At 45.1% G+C, this 19205-nt stretch overlaps 1 long non-coding RNA gene across 3 annotated transcripts in view; it reads right to left on the reverse strand.

The window, feature by feature from the left end:
- The window catches only part of LOC105378157 (uncharacterized), a 28344-nt gene that overhangs the window by 5437 nt on the left and 3702 nt on the right, over nucleotides 1–19205 (reverse strand). The window contains exons 2-4 of one of the 3 annotated variants that reach the window (XR_001744492.2): nucleotides 13933–14042; nucleotides 10466–10555; nucleotides 3544–3767 (exon numbers count right to left, since the gene is read on the reverse strand). This is a non-coding gene — a long non-coding RNA (uncharacterized LOC105378157). Of the gene's footprint in view, nucleotides 1–2068; nucleotides 3768–10465; nucleotides 10556–13932; nucleotides 14043–19205 lie in introns of those variants that run through there. The other 2 variants (XR_001744493.2, XR_001744491.2) reach the window with 2 other exon arrangements.

The following is a 19205-nucleotide window of genomic DNA, read 5'->3' on the forward strand; positions in this document are numbered from 1 at the left end:
AACCTTGGCTGTGTTAGGTCTCAGGGGCAGCCTCTGACCTCTTGCCCCCTTTCAGATTAGAGTTCTGTCCCAAGGGAGGATTCTAATCTTCCCTGCCTTTCTGGTTGTGGGTCTAAGACCCTCCCATGAAGCAAGACCCCCTATAGCCTGTGGGAAGTCATGCTGATGTCTTGAAGCTTCCATAAAAACCCTAGAGGACTGGGATCCGGGAGCTTCCAGAGAGCTGAACATTTGGAGGTTCCTGGAGGGTGACACCCAGGAAGGGCATAGAAGCTCTGTGTCCCTTCCCTACACCTTGACCTACCTTAGAAGCTCTGTGTCCCTTCCCTACACCTTGACCTACCTTAGAAGCTCTGTGTCCCTTCCCTACACCTTGACCTACCTTAGAAGCTCTGTGTCCCTTCCCTACACCTTGACCTACCTTAGAAGCTCTGTGTCCCTTCCCTACACCTTGACCTACCTTAGAAGCTCTGTGTCCCTTCCCTGTACCTTGACCTACCTTAGAAGCTCTGTGTCCTTTCCCCTATATCTTGACCTACCTGTCTCTTCATCTGTATCCTTTGCAATAGCAATATCCTTTACAATAAATCAGTTAACGTGTTTCTCTGAGTTCTATGAGCTCCTCCAGCAAATTAATCGAACCCAAAGAGGGAGCCATGGGAAGCCCAACTTGAAGGCAGCCTGTTGGAAGTTCCAGAAGCCTGGGCCTGTGACTGGTGCAGGGGGCCGGCAGTCTTGGGGACTGAGCCCTCAACCTGTGATATCTGATGCTAACTCTGGGAAGATGGTGTCAGAACACCAGAGCACACTCAGCTGGCATCAGCTGCTAGGTGTGTGGGGAAAACCCCACACATTTGGCCACAGAAGGCTTCTGTGCTGATGACTGCTGTGGTGTGAGAGCAGAGGAGAAACACGGTTTGAGGAGAGTTTTTCCCACACACACACATTAACAAGGTCTAGTTTGTTAATCCTAGTAACAATATGTAAGTCCAGTAACTATTGCAACTTTGAAGCAATGCTAAGCAGAAACGATGTTTCAAGTTATCTGCAACAATTATAATGTGATAGAAACTATCTCTGATTTCTCTTGGTGACAAAGTCACAGACACTTTAAGACCGCTACCATTTATTGCTTGCATGTATAATGGAAGGAAATGCTAACTTTCACTTAGAGGTTAGTGGGAAAAAATGTAATTTTTTCATTCAAGTTCATGAACACACTAAATTAAGAATCTGACCCTATTCTAAACATAAGAAATTTATTCTGAATTGCACGATCATTACATCAGTACTAACTTGTTAGTAATATATACTTGAACAAAAGAGCATATGTGTGCTATACAATTTGACAAATAAATAACATTCCAAGTAAATTTATGTTAAAATGTATGTCTTGATGAGATGGACGAGGTTGGGAGTTTTTTCCAATGAGTTTTTCTGTGGGTGGCTAATACCTATTACTGGAATGATAGAGAGTCCAGCATCAATTATTTTCCTAGTGTTTATTTGTAGGGCTATAAGCATGGAGGAAACTTTGTCCACATACAGAGTTTCATTGAGCAACAGGACTCAATTGTTTGAACTCCTCCAGAGTTATATGTCAAAAATCACATGGTAGGCCGGGCACGGTGGCTCATGCCTGTAATCCCAGCACATTGGGAGGCCAAGGTGGGCAGATTGCTTAAGCCCAGGAGTTCAAGAATAGCCTGGACAACATGGCAAAACCCCATTTCTACAAAAAATACAAAAATTAGCTGGGTGTGGTGGTGAGCACCTGTAGTCCCAGCTACTCAGGAGGCTGAGGTGGGAAGACTGCCCAAGCCCAGGAAGCAGAAGTTGCAGTGAGCTGAGAGTGCACCACTGGAATCCAGCCTGGATGATAGAACGAGGCTCTATCGCAACAACAACAACAAAAAAATCACATGGACATGGTAGTATCTCATCAAGATTTATGTGTAATGCTCTATCAGTTGACAATTCAATTTGAACCTCCTCCAATTCTGATAAGAGAATTGGAAGCCAACTTTCTTGGGAAAAGTTTGTTTTTAGTTATTAAATACCACAAGACTTAGCAAATGTCCCTTTATTCTACCTGTTCCTCTTTCGCTTTACGATGCTGAGTGTCCCTGTGGTCTTGTGGTGTGTGACGCAGAGCTCAGGCCTCTGTTCTGTTGGCATAGACTGTAGAAGAGGCAGCATGGGCTTGGAGCCGGCACTCACGGGGGCTGGTTCCTGATCCCTGGATTTCTTTCTTGTTTTTTTTTTTTTTTATTGTTACAATTTTGGATTTTATTGTGATCAAGATATCAACTCATTGGGCAGTTTTTAATATACAATACTCGCATTTACATTTTAAAAGTGTAAAATTTCTGACTTCCGTATTAAGGATGAGTTTTAACAGGGCTAGTGCAGAGGCAAGCAGGTCAGTCAGAAGGTTATGGCAGTAATTCAGGCAGATGAGGAGGACTGACAAATGCTAATGGAGGAGGTAATGAGCACTGGTTAGGTCATAGTTGTTCTTCAAGTTCTCTGACTGTTAGTTTTCAGAATTAGGGTTAATTAATCTATTTGTTTATTTATTTTCGTGAGGCAGGAGAGTTTCAAAAATTTAGGCTTTAATTTCTCTTGAAAAATTAGAAACTTTGGAAACGAATTCTGTGTCTAACTGACCTCATGGAAACAATTCAATATAGCTGACTCCATTATGTGAATTCTGACTGCAGCAAAAGCATCAGCTCTCTTACCAGGCCGGGTCTGTGGAGGTGCTACTGGGTCATTTCAGGAAGTTCAGCCTAGATCCTGCTCCTTCATCCATTTCGATGATTCTGGATTCTCCTAATCCCCGTATGACATTCCTGGCTGCTTAAACTAGCTGTAGTAGATGTACATATCTGCAAATAAACCCTGATCAATTTTAAAAAATGTCTATAGCCTGGGTTAGATGACAAGACCCCATCTCTTAAAAACAAAAGATTCCTGTATATGCCTTGAACTGGGCCCTGACTGTGTCTTTCCAGTGGCGAGTCTTACACCAAGACTATGAATATGGTCTCTGTCATCAGGTGCTATTGATTAACAAATCATTCTCTCAGGGCCTCTTTTTTCTTACCTATAAAATGATAGGTGGTAGAATGAGTTATTGTTCAGTGAACACTCACTCCGAATCTCCCCTCCATAGGAGGGTCACGTGTCCACTCCTCAGGGGTGTTGGGTGGACACAGGATTGCTTGGGCCAGTGGGGCCTGGGCAGGAGGGAAAGTGAACCGTGTCTGCACCCAGCTGAAGGACAGCAGCATTTCTGCTCCGAGCTGCCCCACTCCCACCCCATGAGAAGAACCTGCCCGGGCTCCAGGCTCCAGATGAGACACATGGAATAGCCCAGGATTCTGCCATAAGACCCTGAGTGAGAAATGATGCATGTATATCACCAAGCACTGGGGTGATTTGGGCATTATCGTCGCAAAAGCTGGCAAAACCTCCAAGCGTAATTTTGAGAATAAAATGAGAAAATGCACAGGATATGCTGACCTGTGTTCTACCTACCAGAGTAAGCATCAAACATTGTTTCTGAAAACTTTCTACTGATTTCTGAAAGCTGACTGTTGGTAATTCCTTTTCTTCCAGGTTCTTCTTTCATCTTCTTTCATCCTTTATCAATCACAAAATTGTGGCTGAGGTATCTGGTTACAGCAGCTGTGTGGAACTCTGAGTGTTTCCCCTCATCTCGCTCTTCCTCTGCCCTGACGATCCAGCACCCCACACAACACCTGGCAAAGAGGCAAACAAATGGCTTGGGCAGCTCTTCCGGACACCAAAAGGAGGGGAGAGTCCAGGACCCAAGGGGAGCCCCAGTGGACCCTCTTCAGGCTTCATCTCCTGGTCCCACATGTAGTGTTCTGTTGGCAGTTGAGGCAGAATTGGGCACTCCCAGGAAGGTGCATGTTTTCAACAGAATTCTCAGAAAACTAATGATACACAGTCATCTAAACATCAGTTGCATGAACAGGGGTCAGAGGACCATTCCACAATCAAGGATGAAAAGAGCAGCAAGGGCCTAGCCACACTCACGAAATGAGCAAAACTTGTCAGGGTGTTCCTACCACCCAGATCATCACAGATAAGACTGTTTCTCCATCAGGACGAACAGAAATGAGACCCTTACCCCACCAGGAGGAACAGGGGTGAGGCCCTTCACAGCGTCGGGATGAACAGGGGTGAGGCCCTTCACAGCGTCGGGAGGAACAGGGGTGAGGCCCTTCACAGCGTCGGGAGGAACAGGGGTGAGGCCCTTCACAGCGTCGGGAGGAACAGGGGTGAGGCCCTTCACAGCGTCGGGAGGAACAGGGGTGAGGCCCTTCACAGCGTCGGGAGGAACAGGGGTGAGGCCCTTCACAGCGTCGGGAGGAACAGGGGTGAGGCCCTTCACAGCGTCGGGATGAACAGGGGTGAGGCCCTTCACAGTGTCGAGATGAACAGGGGTGAGGCCCTTCACAGTATTGGGATGACTGGAGCTGTACAGACTTCCCCAGCGGTTCTCAGAGCCTTCCCATCATCACTTAGCTGGTGCTGCCAGGGCCATCCACTAATCATGGACCTATCGAGGTCTAAACTGACACAGTCTTAGACCCCTCAGGTGTCTCCTCAGCTTGAGACATAAAAACCAAGTCCAGGTGGTTCAGGCCTCCCAGGAGCATCCTGACCTGCCTGTCATTGCTGCAGGCTCTCTGTGGCTGGTTGCTCTCCACCCATGAGGCTTTCCTCCTTTGTCTAATTTTATGCCTTTTGGATCACTGAACTATTCATAGTCTTACAGTAAAAATCTCTCTAAATTATCCTGAGTAATTTTATGTACTCACAAACCAAAGAATAGATTTGAGCACTCTCCCAATTATTCGCCCATCCTTAGGCCATGGAACATGGTAGGTTTGGGGAGGTGTTGGTTTCTTCATGCTTTCTATGTGCGATATCTTCCAGTTAATCCACTCTGCCTCCACACTGCTCTTCTGGGCCTGCCTCTTCACTTGGGTGGGATTTTATGGCATGCCATGGCAAACCTGAGGACAGAATTCGGCCTTGTCTTGTCCTGACAGCTCAGGGGCTGTGCAGGTCCTTGTTGGCTTCCTGCAGGCCCTGCCTCTGGTGGCCGTCTGACCTGGGCCGACATTGGGGACCTTGATAATGTTGGTGCAAAACTGTCTAGAGTCACTTCCAACGCAGATCTGGAATCTTCCTTCAACAGCCCTTTCCTACTTTCCTCAGTGGGGACGCAAGCAGCCTCTAAAATTAGACCAGTCTCTTTTTGGGAATTTGGAAGATTAGAGAAGAAACTGGGGAAACTAAACCTTGGACTGGATTTGAGAACCAGAGGGTCATATTTTTCACCATATCCTTTTAAGGTTGAGGAAAAGAGCTTACGTATCACAGGCCTCCTCCTGTGAAGGCCCTGGGCTCGGATGGGTAAGCTAATACCTGGGACTGTGTGTGTCCCAGGTGAACATAGTCACCATATACCCTGGAGCCATGGAAAACAGTCCTGTCCCCCACTACCTCCCTGTGAAAAAGAAGAAATCCAACAATAAAACCAATGAGAGTATTTGCAGCTGGATCAACAGCTTGTTTCCTAGTGAAAAAGTCTCAAGGCAACGCAGCAGAAAGAACTGGAGGGAAGAGGGCAGGCCCTAGCCTTGAGTCAGAGAGAGAGGAGGACAGGGAGAAACAACTGAAATGTTAGATACTGACGGTTTCCCCAAAGCCTCCTAGAGGGCAGCAGTGACAGAAACTGCATTCCAGCTGAAGGGGATCCCAGAACAGGACGGTCAGCCAGGCCCCTGCTCTTTCTGGCAGAGTCTCTGCATAGGGACATTGGGCTCACAGAATGGGCTCCTAACCTGAGACAACCCCACCAGGCCCTTCTGGCTCTAAGCAATCGCCTTCACTGACTTCTGCTTCAAAACCATTCATGCTCTGAAACTGAAAAGAGAGCCACTTATTCTGGAAGACCTCCAGAACAACTTGGAAAAGGTTCAGAGCCCAGGGCCTCTGAGTACCTTGGCGGCTAGCCAGGACTTGGTTCACCCACTTCTAAAACGGCAGGAACACAGTGGCAGGGAGCCACACAGACTCAGTTTCCCTGTTGTGTACCAAGCATGGATCTCCTCCCACCCCAGCAGCTACAAGCATCTGGCTGTTGAATAATGGAATGGCTTAACTTAGTTACACCCCAAATATCTGAATGCTCCCCTAACAGGATATCGTATGAACTTCGATCCAGCAAAGGTTCCTCCTATAGCCAGAGCCCAAGAATCAAAGGAGAGACGTGAAAGTGGTCTCTCTTGCTGCAGTGTCTGATAACCCATGTGAGGACCTTTGCTGTGTGTCCCCTTAACTTTAGGCTGATTTAGAGGTTTTGGTTCTCAAAAGAAGACAGAATTGTTCTGATGAATTGAAGTTGAAACTGCCACCTGGTCATTTCACGCTCCTCATGCTACTGAATCAACAGACAAAGAAAGGGGTTACTGTGTGCCCTGGGATAATTGATCCCAGTTACCCGGGGGAAATTGCTTTGCTGCTATGGAAGGAGAGAAGAGAGACTATGTCTGGAATTCAGGGATATTTCCAGATCCAAGTAAAGATGAATGGAAAATTAAGCAATGTACCAAAGGTACAATCACAAAGGATTCAGACCCTTCAGAAATGAAGGCTTGGATTACCTCACAATGTGAAAAAACTCCATCAAGCTGAGGTAACAGATAAGGGCGAATGGAATCCAGGGGGGAAGAAAAGTAGGAAAAGGAAATTATTATGCAAAAAAAAAATGAATCTAGGTACAGACCTTATACCTTTCTCAAAATTAACTCAAAATAGATTATAGACCTAAACATAAAACAAAGGCTGGATGCGGTGGCTCATACCTGTAATCCTAGCACTTTGGGAGGCCAAGGCGGGGGCATTGCCTAAACTCAGGAGTTCGAGACCAGCCTGGGCAATACGGTGAAACCTCATCTCTATTAAAATACAAAAATAAAAAAAAACAAATTAGCTGGGAGTGGTGGCGGGCGCCTGTACTCCCAGCTACTAGGAAGGCTGAGGCAGGAGAATCGCTTGAAACCGGAAGGCGGAAGTTGCAGTGAGCCAAGGTCGCGCAACTGCACTCCAGCCTGGTCGACAGAGCGAGACTCTGTCTAAAAAAAAAAAAAAAAACTTCCAGAAGATAATGTAGGGGAAAATACTGAGACCTTAGGCTTGGCAATGAGTTTGTAAATACACCATAATAATGATGCGTGAAATGAAATGTTGGTAAGTTGGACTTTACTAAAATTAGAAGCTTCTGTTTTGTGAAAGACATTCTCAAGAGAATGAAAAGACAGGCAATGGACCGGGAGAAAATATTTGCAAAACACATTATGGCAAAGGGCTTGTATATAATGTACACAAAGAACTCCTCAAACTCAACAATTAAAAAGTAACCTTGTTAAAAATGGGGAAAATATCTGAACAGACCCTTCACTAAAGAAGATACACAGATGGCAAGTAAGTATATAAAAGATGTGCCCAGAGTTTGAGGCTTTAGTGAGCCATGATTACACCACTGCATTGACGCCTGGGTGACTGAGACCCTCTCTCCAAAAAACAAACAAACAAAAGCCCAAAACAAATAAAAGACGGTCAATAACATACGTTATCAGGGACGTGCAGATTAAACCAATGAAATACCAGTTCATACCTATTAGAATGGCCACAATCTTTAAAGTGACGTCAAACACTGGTGAGGATGTGTAGAAAGAGGAGCTCTCATTCATTGCTGGTGGGAATGCAAAACGGTGCAGCCACTTGGAAAGATAGTCTGTTTCTTACAAAACAAAGTGTTGTCTTCACATACAATCTGGCAATCATGCACCTAGGTATTTACTCAAATGAGTTGAAAAATATGTCCACAAAAAAAACTGCATACAAATGTTTAGCAGCTTTATTCATAATTACCAAAAACTGCCCTTCAGTAGGCTAGTGGGTTAACAAACTGTGGTATATCCAATGAAATATTATTCAGCCATAAGAAGAAATGAGCTATGAAGCCGTGAATACGTGGCAGAACTTTAAATTCATGTCATGAGGTAAAAGAAACCAGTCTGAAAAGACAACATCCTATATGATTCCAATGACATGACAATCTGGAAAAGACAAAACTATGGAGACAATGAAAAGAGCAGTGGTTTCTAGAGGTTGAGAGAAGGAGGAAAAAATGGGCAGAGCACAGGGGGGTTTAGGACAGTGAAGCTCTTCCATAGGGAAGATTGGGAGAAGGAGGGAAAAAATGGGCAGAGCACAGGTGGGTTTTAAGGCACTGAAGCTCTTCCATATGGTACTGTCATGATAGATAAATGATATTCCTCAAAACCCATAGAAATTTGCAACACCAAGAGTGAACCCTACTGTAAAGCATGGACTTTAGTTAATAACAATAATGTATCAGTATGGTTTACTAATTGGAACAAATGTACCACACTAATGCAAAATGTGAACAATAAGAGAAAATGTGTGTGCTGAGAGGGGAGTGGTGTAATGTGAGAACTTTCTGCATATAGTTCAATTTTTCTATAAGTCTAAAATTGTTCATTAAACATAATCTATTAGACAGGCATGGTGGCTGACACCTGTAATCCCAGCACTTTGGGAAGCCAAGGCGGGCAGATCACCTGAGGTGAGGAGTTCGAGACTAGCCTGGCCAACATAGTGAAACCCTGTCTCTACTAAAAATACAAAAAATTAGCCAGGCATGTTGGGGCACACCTGTAGCCCCAGCTACTCAGGAGGCTGAGACAGGAGAATCACTTGAACCTGGGAGGCAGAGGTTGCAGTGAGCCAAGATTGCACCACGGCACTCCAGCCTGGGTGACAGAGCAAGACTCAGTCTAAAAAAAAAATAGTCTATTAATTTAAAGTAAAGAATAATGCATCAGTGGGCTGTAGAAAAAGTCTCAGATCTGATGAAAACTATAGGCCATAGATTCAAAAAACTCAACACAACTCAAGCACAAGAAACAAAAAAAATAAACCATGGTACATTATAAATTACTTAAAACCAATGATTAAAAAGAAAACACAAAAAACAGTCAAGAAACACACATAATGTGCAAAGGAACAGATTAGAATGGCAGCCAACTCCTCGTCAGAAATAATGCAAGACAGAAGGCAGTGGATCCACATTTTTCAAGTACCAACAGAACAACGCTGTCAACCTAGAATTCCATGCCTAGCAAAAATATCTTTCAAAAAACAAAGTAAAGACATTTTTAAACATATGGAGGTTGAAGGAACTTATCACCAGCAGACCTGCTCTACAAAATTTCTGTATACCTTTATATATATTTTTTTCTTTTCTTTTTTTTTCTTTTTGGCATGGTCTCGCTCTGTCACCCAGGCTGGAGTGCAGTGGTGCAATCTTGGCTCACTGCAACTTCCACCTCTCGGGAAGAATCAAGAGATTCTCCTGCCTCAGCCTCCAGAGTAGGTGGGATTACAGGCATGTGCCACCATGCCCAGCTAGTTTTTCCACTTTTAGTAGAGGCAGGGTTTCACCATGTTGGCCAGGCTAGTCTCAAACTCCTGACCTCAAGTGATCCATCTGCCTCGCCCTCCCAAAATGCTGGGATTACAGGCATGAGCCACCATGCCTGGCCACTTTTCAATATTTTTAATACACATATAATCATATACAAATATAGATACAGAGACATATTTGACCTTTTGGGTCACTGTTTAACAAGCATGTAATAATTGTATCACTTTTCTGAAAATTGCCTTTCTCATTCAATAATACCTGATGGACATCCCTTAATGTCAGTGTTTTCATAGATATACAATACTCTCTGATGCGTATATTCTGTAAATTACTAAATTTCTCTTTAAAAAGAATGTTATTGAGGTCAGCTGTGGCCCAGAGATAAGTTACAGGATAAATAAGGCCATAGCAGCTTTGAATTTTCTTCCTTTTGGTTATGTATGTGTTTATATATATTATTTTCCTCTGCTCTTTTCTTCCATTGTTTTACGTAATAATCACTGATGGTGGTTAACTTTACAACTTAGCTTTTAGATTTAGAACATTTGGGTGGGATTTTGCTTGGACTCAAGTGGGACTTTACGTCACACTGAGATGGGTGCAGCAACTAATGGAACTGTCATCTCGCCTTTCTGGCTGAGCAATGTCATTGGTACAAATTATGGCTGCGTCTTATTGGGAATAAGCATGAGTTGTTTTGTGTGGCAGTTCAAACACGGGTAAAGGAAATCAATGGAAGCGAGTAGGAGGACTGTGCCTACTGTTTACCTTAGTCTCTCGACTCATTGTCTATATTCTGTTCTGTAATGCTGGGGCTAAAACTACATTTCTCAGTCTAGTTTGTGTTGCTGTAACAGAATATCTGAGACTGGATAATTTACAATGAACAGAAATTCATTTTCTTACCATTACGGAGGCCAGGGAGTCCAAGATCCAGGCAACAGCATTTGGCGAGGGTCGCGTTGCCGTGTCCTTTAATGATAGAAGGCAGATGGGCTGAGAAGGGAGGCAGGGCACAGACAAGAGGGGTCAAACTTACCCTTTCATGACAACATTAATTCCGCCCATGAGGTCGGAGTCCGCATGGCCTAATCACCCTCAAAGTTTCCACCTCTTAATACTGTCACACTGGCAGCTCAATTTTAGCACAAGTTTTTTGGAGGGGACAAACACTCAAACCACAGCACTCTGCAAACTGCACTTGCAAGATAGCTGGCTTTTATTACTTGCATTTCCCTTCATAGCAGGCTTCTTATTAGGTTCTGCCAATGGGAGCTCCTAGGAGTTTGAAAGATGAGAAGAGAGGAGCGACTTCCTCATATTCTCCTGTTTCTGTCAATTGGCTCCAGCCCCAGTTGAGTCCCACCCACTTCATGCTGAGCACCAGTGCCAAGGAACCCTGCTCTGAGCACTGCTTGCCTTAGGTTCTGGTAACCTTCCCTCTCTTTTTTTGCACCATCATCCCCAGCCACGGACGGGCAGCTTCTTTAGTTCCTAATATCGGGGTTGTTTCACCTCGCATTTTACCCTTCCAGACTTCCAACACCTATGTAACCAATTCATCTGGTTAAATTCCCTCTGTTTGAATTACCAGTGCAGTTTTTACTTTCCTGTCTGGACCCTGACTGACACAAATCCCATCTCACACTGTGAATCTTAGAGCCTGAGTAACATAAGCCTACTTAACAAATGTCTGACATCACAACCTCAATCAGGGAGCTAAAAGTCAGTTAGCATGGTCCTCCAGTCTATAGATACAGTGAAAAGGGAATGCTCGTGCAACCCCCGTGACAAACAGTTCATGCCTTCTTAGCCCAGTACTGATTGCAGTGGAATTGCATTGCTGAGTACTTACTGAACATCAGCTACCACCTGGCAGTTACATTCACATAGAGAATGTGAGTGTAGAAGCTCTATCATCCCTGTCTGCCTTCAAGGTGCTTTTCACAGGGGAGGTCAATGTTCTCAACGTGGGACAGGTGCATGACAGAGTTATGTGCAAAATAATTTGGGAGGAAGAGGAAGAAAAGATTTACAATATCTCTTCCCTGCACTCACTCTCAGCACTCACCACCCACTCACATACTATGCATTTGTTTACTGCCATAAAATATGGGCTCCATGAAGGAGCATGTTTTATCTGTTTCACTCACGAAATAATTCCCAGTACGTAGCAGAGTGACCAACACATGGTAGGTACTGAAGAAAAATTTTCAAATTAATTAATGAAATTATCAAACAAGTGAACAAAAAGATATGCTTGAAGAGGCTTTGTATAATATTAATACTATATCAATAAAGTGTGAACAATTTAAATAACAGTATATGATAGGAGCCGGGCACGATGGCTCACGCCTGTAATCCCAGCATTTTGGGAGGCCGAGGTGGTTGGATCACCTGAGGTCAGGAGTTCGAGATCAGCCTGGCCAACATGGTGAAACCCCGTCTCTACTAAAACACCAAAAATTAGCTGGGCGTAGTGGTGGGCGCCTGTAATCCCAGCTACTCAGGAGGCTGAGACAGGAGATTCGCTTGAACCTGGGAGGGAGAAGTTGCAGTGAGCCAAGATCGTGCCATTGCACTCCAGCCTGGGCAACAATAGTGAAACTCTGTCTCAAAAAAAAAAAAATATATATATATATATATATATATACACACACACACACACACAGGATAGATTATATAACCTTTGGAAATATTTTGAGCCATGCATCCATTAAAAATAAAACTCTGGGTGGCTCGTGCCTTTAATCCCAGTCTTTGGAAGGCTGAAACAGGTGGATCCCTTGAACCCAAGAGTTTAAGATCAGCCTGGGCAACATGGTGAAGCCCTGATTTACAAAAAATAAAAAAATTTGCCGGGCATAGTGGCATGCACCTATAGTCCCAGCTACTCCGGTTACTCAGAAGGCTGAGGTGGGAAAAATCACTTGAGCCTGGGAGGTCAAGCCTGCAATGAGCCGTGATTGAGCCACGGCACTCCAGCCTGGGCAACGGAGTGAGACCCTGTCTCAAAAACAAATGAATAAAAATAAACAAATAAATCAACAAAACTCTAACAATGTGCTTGTGCACACAAAGTTGTTCATGATGTAACATTTTCTTTATTCTTTCTTTCTTTCCTTCTTTTTTTTTGAGACAAGGTCTTGCTCTGTAGCTCAGGCTGGAATGCAATAGTGCCATCTTGGCTCGCTGCAACCTCTGCCTCCTGGGCTCAAGCAATTCTCATGCCTCAGCCTCTCTAGTAGCTGAGACTACAGACACATGCCACCACGCCTGGCTAATATTTGCATTTTGGGTAGAGACAATGTTTCACCATTTTTCCCTGGCTGGTCTGGAACTCATGGGCTTAAGTGATCTGCCCATCTTTGCCTCCCAAAATGTTAGGATTACAGGTGTGAGTGACTGTGCCTGGCTGATGTCGCATTATTTATTTATTTATTTGAGACAGAGTCTCGCTGTGTCACTAGGCTGGAGTTCAGTGGCGTGATCTCGGCTCACTGCAACCTCCACCTCCCATGTTCAAGCCATTCTCCTGCCTCAGCCTCCCGAGTAGCTGGGACTATAGACATGCCACTAAGCCCAGCTAACTTTTGTATTTTTAGTAGAGACGGGGTTTCACCATGTTGGCCAGGCTGATCTCGAACTCCTGACCTTAGGTGATCCACCCACCTTGGCTTCCCGAAGTGCTGGGATTACAGGCGCGAGCCACTGCACCCAGCCAGCATTATTAAGTAAAGAAAAAAAGCTCAAAAGAAAAGTTTGCTGTCCAAAGTTCATTCCTTTTTTCTAGGAACAGCACCAAAACTTGTTTCTAAGAACCACCTCTTTCCATCTTCACCACATGGCTGGTGGTTTGGCTTCTCAGGAGTGTCCCCTTGCATAAGCCAGTCAGCACATCCCACCCAACTGGCCACATCTGTGGCTATGGCACCCAATTATGAAAAATAAGATTGCAAGAGTTTCCTGAGGCTTCTGTAAAAAAGAAAATATGTTTCTTCTTAAGGAGCCACTCAGGATCCTCTCTTGCCCCGAGTGGTACAGAATGATGACAGGTACTTTGCTGCCATGTTTGATGGTTGGGGACAGTGGACCCAACAGCTCAGAGAGCAGAGTGAAGAGAAAGAGAAACCAACTCATTCAAGCCACTTATTCTTGTCTCCCAGAAGGTAACCCTGCTCTGGAGTTTCAGTTTGGTAAGTCTATGCATTCTATTACTGCTTGGGTCCAGACGAATTGAGTTTCCTGTCATTTGGGATTAAAGGAGTCTGGGCTGATATGCAGAGCATGATTCCAACTTGATTTTCTAAACATATTTTAAATATACAATCAAAATTTTAGAAGTATCATCAAAACCCACTATTTTCACCTACCAATCCACTCCTCAGTGTCCAAGCGTTTGCTTTTATTCCTCCAAGAAATAGCTGTGGCAGCCAGTGAGATTCATTTATACACAAATGGAAAGAGAGTTTCCAGATAAATCCTGCAAGAGATCACAGTGGCTTGAGCATGGTCGTGGTGGATGCGTGAGAGAGAGTGATGCGGAGTGTGTAGGAAAGGTCAAAAAGAATGTTGAAGAAAAGGTTAACAGTGGTTGTCTTGGTTAGTATATTGCTTTGTTTTTCTTTTTACTTATTTGTATTTTCTAAGCTTTCTAGAATAAACTTGTATTTTCTGGGTCATATTTCTGGGTCTCTGCCCTAGCTCACAGGATGGATATCATTATTGACATGATATCAATATAATTTTAATCTCAACCTAAGATAATACAGTACTCTGAGTTCCTAATTCTGTTTGGTTAAGTTGCAAATTCTTAGAAGTTACAACATGACTGGGGGGTTTTGCTAAATAGACTGAACAAAGCAAGAGACACAGATTGGGAGGTTTTGCTAAATAGACTGAACAAAGCAAGAACCTAGACTCTAATTCCAGGTTTTCTGTTCCACTCTAGCTTCAGACTTTACTCCTAATTTTTATTAATGTGAACATCTGAGCACACCAGAAAGAATAATAAGAACCACAGAGAAAGAAGAGTCCTCTAGAAGAATGATAATATCTTCTACATCAGAAATAGGAGCACTAGTATTATAGCATCTGGTAAAGTCATGAGGAAAGATCCTCCAAATAAGGGCTGTCCCAAACTATCTGCAGTTATGCTTTCCAAGCTTCCTGGTGTTGGCCCCATGTTTGGGGTGTACCAGGAGAGAGTGAGGGGTTCCAAGGGAAGGCCGGAGGTGCTGGGGATCTCAGGCATCATAAGTAACAATGACAAAAACACGGATGTGCAGAAATCAATAAGCCGAGACTCACTCAGGAGGCTTTGAGAAGCCAGTCGGTGCCTATGGACCAGGCTGAACATCTGTCAGGCAAACAAAAAGCAAACAGAGAAGAACAAAGGAGAGTGGGATTATTTTCACTCAAGTTCTTCTTCAGGCTCAGCAGGTGACATCCAAGCTGCTTGGCCTTCCTTCCTTCAGACACTGAACCTCCATGGAGGGTATGCTGCCCAGAAAACTCCAAACCAGCAACCCCAGCACAAAAGAAGGACGAAAACAAAGTGCAGATGGAAAATTCAGGCAGAGCCACACTGTGGCCATGTCAAAACTTCGCACATCCTCGCTAATTTCCACAGAACCATTTTGTTTGAGTGGCAGAACCATCAATCTCCAAGGGGCGTATAAGTCCAGTTAATCGAACTCTTACTCCACCGCTTTTTCATTCTTAAGGCCTGAAGTTGGAGAAAAGGAGGAAAGCGGAGCAGCCATGGGTCTTTGCAAAACGAACAGAGCTCAGAGATAGCGAGATCCCAGGCACAGGCGCAGCCATTAGTAACAAAAACAGCTCACAGTGGGGAAGTCCATGCTATGCTACGTGCCAGCTTCTCTTACTGCCTTTAGTCTTCACCCAGCTGCTATGAGGTAGATTCTGCTACTATCCAGACCTTTGTGCACACTAGAGACACGAGGTGTCCCCTGGGGTTGGGAGTGGGGCTGCCACAAGTCTTCCCTAATCAACAGATGACAAAACTGCTCAGGAATTAGCCCAAATTCCCACAGCTGGTATGTGACTAGGTTATATTGCATTACAAACCTACCAACAAAATTAAGATCACCAAGTAATATTTATAAGGTGGCTTGGGGGTCAAGTTTTATGGGTTAAGTTTAGACACACCCATCACAATGATTTTTAAATATGTCCACAAATTCTTTGATATTCTTCCCTTCAAAAGGCAGTCTAATTCCTTTCCCCTTAAGCGTGGCAGTGCTTCACAACTCACTTCATACAAATCGAACATGAAGCAATGAAGAGGTGTCACTTGTCATAAGAAAGCATGTGTACCCTGCTCACTTTCTTGGGTCACTTGCTCTGGGGGAACCCAGCTGCCACTCAAGCAGCACTATGGAGAGTCCTTGTGGTGAGAAGCTGAAACCCCCACCCAGCAGCCAATACCAACTGGCCAGGCATGGGATTCAGCCATTTTAGAAGCAGATCTTCCAACCAGGTCAAGGTCAAGGTCAAGCCTTCAGACGACTTCAGCCCCAGCTTCATGACAGTGTCCTAAGAGACCCTGAGCCCGAACTACCCAGCAAAGCTACACTTACAGACTGTGTTAGAGGATAACTGGTTATTGATTAAACCATTTAATTTGGGGGGTGATTTGTCATGCATCAGTAGATAACTAAGACATCCACCTTTATCTACCTTATGCCTATTATGAGATACCACAATTGCCAAGGCTGAAATTTAACGTAAATGCCCTCTCCCTCTCGGTGAAACCAGAGACTCGCAGGCACTGTGGAATGACAAAGCTGACAAAGCTGTTCCCCAAACTCACCTCACTCTCCCAGGGCACAGCTGGACTGCACTTCTCAGCCCCCTTGCAGTTGGGTGCAATGGGACTGAGGTACCGTCAGTGGAATATGGGCCAAAGCGTTTATACTGCTTCCAAGCCTGACTCATAAAACCTTCCCAGGTGGCCTGCTATAAACTGAATGCACCCCAGAATTCACATGTTGAAGGCCTAATCCCGGTGTGACCATGTTTGGAGATAGGGCTTTTAGGAGGTAAAGTTAAATGAGGTCAAAAGAATAGCGCCGGGAGCCAATAGGATAGGTGGCCTTACAAGAAGAGGAAGAGAAGTGTTTCTCATTCCACATGCACACACCAAGGAAAGGCCAAGTGAGGACACAGCAAGAAGGCAGCCATCTGCAACCCAAGGAGAGAGCCCTCCCCAGAGCCTGACCCTGCTGATGCCTTGATCTCAGACTTCCAGCCTCCAGAACTGGGAGAAAATAAATTCCTGTTGTTTAAGTCACCCAGTCGTCTACGGTATTTTGTTACGGCAGCCTGAGCAGACTAAGACAGATACTCCATGTTCCCTCTTTTCCAATCTGCCTGCTGGATATTGAGACTCAGGATAACCTTGGAAATCACACATGGAAGGTGGCAGAACCCCCATCAGCTTGGGTGCCTGAATGTCTACATGGAGCAGAGACCTACCACCACCACTGCTATAACCACTCATCAGGAACTCCTACCATGAGCTTCACAAGAAAGAAACTTCTATTGTGTTTTGCCACTAAAAGTTCAGGTTTGTTCATTATGGTAGCTAGTATTCTGTAACTAATACCTGTTACATTCATTGTGTTAATTATATCAGAGTTTCTTTGTATGTATGCTAACATTAGGGAATTAATTTATTTCACTAGTCTGTAGTTTCAACTCCCGCAGACTGACTCAGAAAACAATGATATACAACTGCTTTTGGTGGGGCCAGTTTCTTGTTCAGGATAATGCATTCCAGTGCCTATATGAGCCCAGGGCTGTGGTTTTGGGGGTGCCTGTTTGACTCTAATGGATGCCATCAGACAACTCTTGTTCACAGGGTGGGAAATCTTCACTTTTCAGTGAAATCTTTGAATGCTGGGTTAGAGACAAGGCACATGCAGGGTTGTCTAGTAATGCTAGAATACTAGGTATTCTAGTAATGTTTGCCATGCTTTCTCTCTTTCTGAAAGATATTAATCTCCTTCTACATCCAGGGCACATTAACACACTGTCCAAAATTCCCAAGGGGAATAGAACTTTCTTTCCCCTGTCATTGGGAAAGCCAAATTTTCCCATAGAATTCAGTATAGTGTTTGCTTACATGGATTACGGTGGTTACCATTTCCTAATCCCTAACCTGCAGGTCAAAAATCCAGGTATATACAAATGCATTACTTGACTTATGTGCCTCAGTTCTCTTTTTTTTTTTTTTGACACAGAGTTTCACTCTGTCACTCAGGCTGGAGTGCAGTAGTGCTATCTCAGCTCACTGCAACCTCCATCTCCCAGGTTCAAGCAATACTCCTGCCTCAGCCTCCCGAGTAGCTGGGATTACAGGTATGCACCACCATGCCAGGCTAATTTTTGTATTTTCAGTAGAGATGCGGTTTCACCATGTTGGCCAGCTGGTCTAGAACTCCTGACCTCAGGTGATCTGCCCCCCTGGGCTTCACAAAGTGCTGGGATTACAGGCCTGAGCCACTGTGCCTCGTCAGTTTTCTCATCTACACAGTGGGCATAATGATAGTATCTACCTCAAAGGAGTGTTGTGAAGATTGCGTTGGATAATATGTGTCAATCATGGATCATAGTGACCAATGCACAATATCAGTAAGTCATGACTATTAATGTCACTATGGTGATAGTGAAAGTGATTGCTACTACCCCTGCCAAGGAATAAAAGATCCCAGGCTCTGGGAAAAGTCCTACATTTCATTCCCATTTACTGGAGGAGCCCCCAGGACAGCCCTTTAACCTGGGCATTGGATGCCATTGGCCCAGGCCTTCTTGCAATTCTCTACCTGGCTACTGGTTCTACTGGCCACCTCAGACCTCTAGCCTGTGACAGCACAGCCACCCTCTCCCTGGCAGACATGCCACTCACAAACAGGGCCCCAAGGGGCCCAGAGGGGACAGGGCTCTGCAAGACTCACTTTCTTCCCAGATGAGACTGTTGAATCCAAGTAAATGGGGCTGTGCTCCAGGAACTTGTGGGACTCCTTTGTCTAGAGTCATACACCTGAGCAGCCTCCCTGGTCCCATGAAGGTACTACTCCATCACCCACCCTTAATTCCTAGCCCTGCTCTTTGTGCCTATTTCTAATGAGGACCAGGAGGTAAGGAGGAGAGGAGAAGGAGGTGAGGAGGAGGGGGGGAGGAGAGGAGGAGAGGAGGTGAGGAGGGGAGGAGGAGGGGAGGAGAGGAGGAGGAGGGGAGGAGGGGAGGAGAGGAGGAGGAGGGGAGGAGAGGAGGAGGAGGGGAGGAGGGGAGGAGAGGAGGAGGAGGGGAGGAGGGGAGGAGAGGAGGAGGAGGGGAGGAGGAGGGGAGGAGGGGAAGAGGAGGGGAGGAAGAGAGGAGGAGAGGAGGAGGGCAGGAGGGGAAGAGGAGGAGGTGAGGAGGGGAAGAGGAGGAGGTGAGGAGGAGGGGAGGAGAGGAGGAGAGGAGGTGAGGAGGTGAGGAGGAGAGGAGGAGGGGAGGAGAGGAGGTGAGGAGGGGAGGAGGAGAGGAAGGTGAGGAGGATGGTGGACATGTGAGTACTGAGGCTCCCGGATCTCAGAATCCATGAAAGGCGGATTTGTAGCTGCTCCTCTTCCTCACA

This window comes from Homo sapiens, chromosome 6 (genome assembly GCF_000001405.40).
Source record: "Homo sapiens chromosome 6, GRCh38.p14 Primary Assembly".
NCBI classification, from domain to species: domain Eukaryota; kingdom Metazoa; phylum Chordata; class Mammalia; order Primates; family Hominidae; genus Homo; species Homo sapiens.